Source organism: Homo sapiens, chromosome 12 (assembly GCF_000001405.40).
Source record: "Homo sapiens chromosome 12, GRCh38.p14 Primary Assembly".
Lineage (NCBI taxonomy): Eukaryota > Metazoa > Chordata > Mammalia > Primates > Hominidae > Homo > Homo sapiens.
This window is the reverse complement of record NC_000012.12, coordinates 96,400,873-96,407,978: the sequence shown is the minus strand read 5'-3', so window position 1 is coordinate 96,407,978 and position 7,106 is coordinate 96,400,873. Positions and strand designations below refer to the sequence as shown.

General features: G+C 41.0%; 3 annotated features.

Moving 5' to 3' along the window:
- Nucleotides 236-285: an enhancer, noted in NCBI's record as "active region_6828". NCBI's record gives its function as "activates an Ori minimal core promoter by ATAC-STARR-seq in GM12878 lymphoblastoid cells {active_cell/tissue: GM12878}" and the evidence as "EXISTENCE:reporter gene assay evidence [ECO:0000049][PMID:35858748]".
- Nucleotides 3,784-3,883: a silencer, noted in NCBI's record as "silent region_4745". NCBI's record gives its function as "represses an Ori minimal core promoter by ATAC-STARR-seq in GM12878 lymphoblastoid cells {active_cell/tissue: GM12878}" and the evidence as "EXISTENCE:reporter gene assay evidence [ECO:0000049][PMID:35858748]".
- Nucleotides 6,557-6,776: an enhancer, noted in NCBI's record as "active region_6827". NCBI's record gives its function as "activates an Ori minimal core promoter by ATAC-STARR-seq in GM12878 lymphoblastoid cells {active_cell/tissue: GM12878}" and the evidence as "EXISTENCE:reporter gene assay evidence [ECO:0000049][PMID:35858748]".

The window sequence follows — 7,106 nt, the reverse complement described above, 5'->3', positions numbered from 1 at the left end:
CCAATCACTCATCTGCCTTGGCCACAGTGACAGTCAGTGATTTAAGCTGAGCTAAATAAAGCTAATATTTGTGCTACTAAAGATGTTACTCCCTTTTTCCTTTGGGACTTGAACCTAGAAGCTTAGAGCTATAAATATTACAGACATCTTTTGACCTAATGGGTGGAGAGCCAAGGCCACCAAAAGCAGAACTGAAAGGAGAGGAACCAGGTTCTGATGACATCGGGACAGCTGTTGGCTAAGATGACCTTAAAGTCTGCGCCATCCCTAGTCTTTTTTTTTTTTTCTTGAGACAGAGTCTTGCTCTGTCACCTGTGCTGGAGTACAGTGGCGTGATCTCAGCTCACTGCAACCTCCACCTCCCAGGTTCAAGCAATTCTCCTGTCTCAGCCTCCTGAGTAGCTGGGACTACTGGCGCATGCCACCATGCCCAGCTAATGTTTGTATTTTTAGTAGAGAAGGGGTTTCACCATATTGGTCAGGCTGGTCTCGAACTCCTGACCTCAGGTAATCCACCCACCTCGGCTTCCCAAGGTGCTGGGAATTACAGGCGTGAGCCACCACACCCGGCCCCTAGTCTTTTCAATCACACAACAACAAAATCCCCTTTCTGTATTGTTTGAGTTGTTATTCATGTCACTTACAACAGAAAAACTTGAGATACAATGCATTACATTCATTATCTTATTTAATCCTTACAACCTGGCAAGTAAACTGTTAACCCAATTTTACATATGGAGAAACTTTTAGTTAAGTAATTTAGCAAAATCTCATGGTGACAAAATTAGGACTCCCATCCAATCCAACTGATTGCAAAGCCCTATTACTATGCAATGTTCCTTCAGGGCTAGAACCCTGACCTGCTTAATTTATGCTTTTCTACTCTTTCTTTCTATTACATGAAGCTTAACACTAACAACATCTGCAGCTTTCTTATTGCTGAAATAAAACTTGTATAAGACTTAATTCTCCCTTTTCCCTGCTTCTTACCTTTTTTGTCTTCTTTCCCCTCTTCCTCGTTTTTTATTTTTCCATTTTTCCAATATCTATATTCCAAATATTTGCTCTAGTCTTCTTCACAGATCATATCAATTCTAGGATGGTCCTGGGAGTCATGTAGGCTAGGGCAAGGCAAAGTTAGTTTACTGAAATTTGCACTTCTGAACTACTAATACTAGAAGACTACAAATCAGTCCTATCAGCTTACCTAAAAGCATATCACTGGGCCAGATTTCAAAGATGACAAACCATCCCTCCCTTCTCCCATTAAAAGGATGAAAAGGTGCCGGGCACAGTGGCTCACACCTGTGATCCCAGCACTTTGGGAGGCCGAGGCGGGTGGATCACCTGAGGTCAGGAGTTCGAGACCAGCCTGACCAACATGGAGAAACCCCCGTCTCTACTAAAAATACAAAAATTAGCCGGGCATGGTGGTGGGCACCTGTAATCTCAGCTACTCTGGAGGCTGAGGCAGGAGAATCTCTTGAACCCGGAAGGTGGGGGTTGTAGTGAGCCAAGATCACGCCATTGCATTCCAGCCTGGGCAACAAAAGCAAAATTACATCTCAAAAAAAGGAAAAAAAAAAAGGATGAAAAGGCCAGGCGCGGTGGCTCACGCCTGTAATCCCAGCAGATTGGTTGGCCAAGGCGGGTGGATCACCTGAGGTCTGGAGTTTGAGACCAGCCTGACCAACATGAAGAAACCCCATCTCTACTAAAAATACAAAATTAGCTGAGCGTGGTGATGCATGCCTGTAATCCCAGCTACTTGAGAGGCTGAGGCAGGAGAACTGCTTGAACCTGGGAGGCAGAGGTTGTGGTGAGCCGAGATTGCACCATTGCACTCCAGCCTGGGCAACAAGAGTGAAACTCTGTCTCAAAAAAAAAAAAAAAAAAAAAAAAAAAAGGATGAAAAAGGCCAGGCGAGGGGGCTCACGCCAGTAATCCCAGCAATTTGGGATGCAGAGGTGGGCAGATCATTTGAGGTCAGAAGTTTGAGACCAGCCTGGCCAACATACTGAAATCCTGCCTCTACCAAAAATTAGCTGTGTGTGGTGGCAGTCACCTGCAATCCCAGCTATTTGGGAGGCTGATGCAGGAGAATCACTAGAACCCAGGTGGCGGAGCTTGAAGTGAGCCGAGATCACACCACTGCTCTCCAACCTGGGTGACAGAGGGAGACTCCGTCTCAAAAGAAACAAAAGATGAAAAGATGAAAAAAGATAGTGATAATTCCCACAAGCTCCTGGGGAAATGGCCAGTTGCCACATTCTTCTTCTTCTCAACCTGCTTAAGAAGGGAAAACCTATACTGCCCCAGTTCCCACTTTCCAACTTTTTTTTTTTTTAAGCAAGACATTTGTTAAAGCTTAAAGATGACTTCATCACACCTGTAATCCCAGCACTTTGGGAGGCCGAGGCAGGTGGATCACTAGAGGTCAGGAGTTCGAGACCAGCCTGGCCAACATGGTGAAACTCCGTCTCTATTAAAATACAAAAATTAGCCAGGCGTGGTGGCGGGCACCTGTAGTCCCAGCTACTCTTGAGGCTGAGGCAGGAGAATTGCTTGAACCTGGAAGGTGGAGGTTGCAGTGAGTCGAGATTGTGACACTGCACTCCAGCCTGGGTAACAGAGCGAGACTCCATCTCAAAATCTCAAAACAAAACAAAACAAAACAAAAACAAAAACAAAAAACAATGGCTTCATGTTATGCTTCATTTTTTTTTAAAAAGCTCAAATAAACTTTAAATGTATTGTATTTGATTAAGACCCACATCTGGTTTTTCTCAGAGGCAGAACATCAATCTAGTTAAGAGGTATTGATATTACATTTAAAAAAGAAATGAAGAAAAAACTAGTTAATCCCATCTTAATCTCATAATAGAGACGTGTATGCAGTCTTACTGGAAGCCTGGAAACTAACTCTCCCTAAGCATTTTGTCAGCAACTAGAGAAAACTTTCATTTCAAAATAAAATGTTTGAAAATTTTGTCCCCCTTAACTGCCAAGATTCAGTTTGGTTCCTGGATTCATTTCCCTTGTAAGGACACATGACATCACTCTGCTGAAAGCTTTTTATAACGCTCCCTGGACGAGACCAAATGTCTCAGATGTTATTCATCCTCTAGGGTTAAATCTGGTACACCAAATTTGAAATTTTACATGTAAATAGGGAAGAAATTTTCCCTCCCCAAATTTGTAACTTGTAAATCTATGGAGGTATTCTGATAATATCAAATAGATCTGCTCTGTAAAATCTCTACCATTAAGCTTTAAGTGACAGGGTACAACTGTATCATTATGCAATGGTATATAGCTGTTTTGCAGGTGTTGGGATGGTACAAAATATTAAAAATAAATGTTAAGGCCTGGCTAGATGTTTCATTTTTGAAGCAGGTTTTAAAAAGCCTTTGACAAAACTCCTTTCTTGCCTACAGCTTCATTTTTGCCAAATGTAAAATTATTTTGCTATTGGGGGAAAATTGTTGATTGCTGTCCTTAGCTTAATTTGCTTTATTCTTCTTGCAAAACAAGCAAACAAACACACAGACTTCCTATATGATTCAGCCTAGTAAAACAGGGAATGAACCCAGACAAAAAGTGTTTTTTCTATTTGGTCAGTAATCTAATTTCTTTGAGAATTTTTAAGGAATATGAAATAATTAGAAATAGTCCAGAAATTCAGACATATGGAAAATTGTTTTGTAAACAAAGCTATGTATTGATGTTGTATAGAGCAGTGATTCTCAAACTTTATTGTTCAGCAGAATCTTAGAAAATCTCTGTAAACAGTTTGCTGGGCCCCACACTAGAGTTTCTGATTCAGTTGGTCTGGAGCGGGAACTGAGAATTTGCATTTCTAAGAAATTCCCAGGTAACACTGCTGAGAACCACTGATGTAGAGCAATTGAAAACCAGCTTAAGTGTTTCTTGTTTGTATCTTACCTGAAAGTTTCATATTTGTTTCCCAGACAGTGTCATTTTCAGAATGTGAATCCCAGCAAAGATTTTCTGGACTTACCACATTTAACTCTCTTTGTCCAAAGTTCAATGACCTTCAAAATTTTCTCCCCTCAATATTTTTATATATGTCACATGATATAGCTATTCTATGGTGAAAACATTTTGGGATATACTTGTTTCACTGGAAAGAAGATTATTTTTCAATCTCAGAACTTCTAAGAGCCTTAAATACGTAAATGTATATTGTGAATTTCCAAAAGGGAGATAAAGTATGTGGCATTCCTCAAGTGGATTTGATCTTGGAATTCTTCCTCAATCTTTCTCCTCCACTAAGCACTATGGAATATCTATTAATGACAGTTAGGGAAATATTCTAAGTAATTTTATAATTTAACATAGTTTTACAAGGTAAAAAAAAAAGCCTATATTACAACCTACGGAAAAAACAACTAACATGCTCACAATATTACATATAATTTTTTTTTTTTTTTTTCAGACAGAGTCTTGCTCTGTCACCCAAGCTGGAGTGCAGTGGTGTGATCTCAGCTCACTACAACCTCCACTTCCTGGGTTCAAGCGATTCTCCTGCCTCAGCCTCCTGGGTAGCTAGGATTACAGGCTCCTGCCACCACGCCTGGGTAATTTTTGTATTTTTAGTAGAGATGGGGTTTTGTTATTTTGGCCAACCTGGTCTCGAACTCATGAGCTCAAGTGATCCACCTGCCTCGATCTCCCAAAGTGCTGGGATTACCGGTGTGAGCTACCGCGCCTGGCCAAATTTTAAATCGGTTTAGAAAAGTAATTAAATAGGCCATGGGGCTGGGTGCTGTGGCTCACCCAGCACTTTGGATCACTAGAGCTCATGAGTTCGAGACCAGCCTGGCCAACATGTCCAAACCCCGCCTCTACTAAAAATACAAAAATTAGCCGGGCGTGGTGATGGGCACCTGTAATCTCAGCTATTCAAGAGGCTGAGGCAGGAGAATTGCTTGAACCCAGGAGATGGAGATTGCAGTGAGTTGAGATGATGCCACTGCACTCCAGCCTGGGTGACAGAGCAAGACTCCCTCTAAAAATAAATAAATAAACAGATAAATAAATAGGCCAGGGGTGGTGGCTCCTGTTTGTAGTCTCAGCACTTTGGGAGGCCGAGGTTGGAGGATTGCTTGATGTCAGGAGTTAATACCAGCCTGGGCTGTCGGCATAGTGAGACTCCATCTCATTTAAATAAATAAATAAATAAATAAATATGAAAAGTAATGAAATAAATATTGTGCAATCTGTAATTTTTTTTTTCATTGAAAGAACAAATCCTCCAGGCACGGTGGCTCACGCCTGTAATCCCAGCATTTTGGGAGGCCGAGGAGGGTGAATCATCTGAGGTCAGGAGTTTGAGACCAGCCTGGCCAACAGGGTGAAACCCTGTCTGTACTAAAAATGCAAAAAATTAGCCGGGCGTGGTGGCGGATGCCTGTAATCCCAGCTACTTGGGAGGCTGAGGCAGGAGAATCGCTTGAACCTGGGAGGCGGATGTTGTAGTCAGCTGAGACCACGCAACTGCACTCCAGCCTGGGCAACAAGAGCAAAATTCTGTCTTAAAAAAAAAAAAGAAATAACAAACCAATCAATCAAATAATCACCTAAGTTTTCATTATGAATTCGTCTTTTTTTTTTCTTTTTGAGACGGTGTCTCACTCTGTCACCCAGGTTGGCGTGCAGTGGCAGAATCTCAGCTCACCGCAAACTCCGCCTCCCAGGCTTAATGGATCCTCCCACCTCAGCCTCCCAATTACGAATTCTTTGTTATGCTAATGAAAGATGTAGAAAGAGGAGAGGGTGCTTTGGATGAGACAGAATAATCTTTTTATTTCTCATGGAGTAATGTTAATCTAATGATATGAAGGTATAAGTATTAATGCTGAAACTCAGAATGCCATTTCATAGACTCCCTTTTTTGGTGATTTTTTGATATTTACTAAAGTACTAATTTAGATGAGGCAAGTATATGAAAATCCTTTCATATAAATAGGCCTTGTATAAATATCAGTGTTTCTCTTTAACTTAAAAAGAACTCTGAAAATGATGCTACATCTTGCTATATTATAAAGTTCCAAGTTTGACTTGGACAAATCTAAAAAGCCTCATTAACAGTGCTTTTAAACAAAGCGCACTTGTTCTAACGGAAAGCTTGTTATGTATATTTGCATTCTTGGTTGGTAAACAAGTGTTAAATACGCGTAGAGCATAATTGTTGCTAATTTACGGGTCCTGGTAATTTTAGAGGCATGGGAAAAGCCTGATTGACACGTACGATCGTTGGATATAACTGTAGATGCATTTAACTTTGCCAAACAAAATAAGAGAAAGATGTCAGCATGCAGCATTTTTAAGGGGGAAAGGATTCATCCCTAAATCCAAAAAGATAATTCCCCGAAGTTCTTAGCACATAATGTGATTTGAAACTTCAAAGCAGCTTCTACTTCCGGGTGTTAACATGGGAAAAAAAATTTATCTCACTTCACAGGACTTTTATGTGGGTTTTTTTTTCTTGTTTATGTTGTCTACATCCGGTCCCTACTCTCTTCTTTCAATCCTCTCATTATCTCCCTCTAGGGGTTTAAGTTTGTTTTAACTTTATGCTTTTATCCTTATTAGTGGAAAAAAGTGGGTCAGTATTACTTTAGTTTGTCTTCACTGCCACTCTGCTGTTCATTCCTGAACTAGCTTTTAGCCTCTGGGAAAGGAGAAAGTAAAAACAGTTGCAGAAACTGGGCCAACCTCTCGCGGCCCGCCTCCCCCAAGAAAACAAAACCTAACCCGTGCAACAGTAGTCCTTTCTGTTTTCATAGCACCTTGTATTTCTCCGCTCATAACGTTCAGATTTTTATGATAGTTATTGATCATCTTTCATCCCAGCTAGACTCTCCGTCCTTAGAGGACTCAGCATATTGCCGGGCACATGATAATATATACAAAACACTGTACTGTAGTTTAAATGAATAGATGCCGTGTGTGTGAGAGACTGCGGCACTAGTACCCACGTACCCACACACAACAAAGGAGAAAAGTTGCAGCCATCAACATCTTTCAGTGTGGGTCCTTTGACATGGACTCTCTAGAAAGTCAGTGGAGAACTGTGGCAT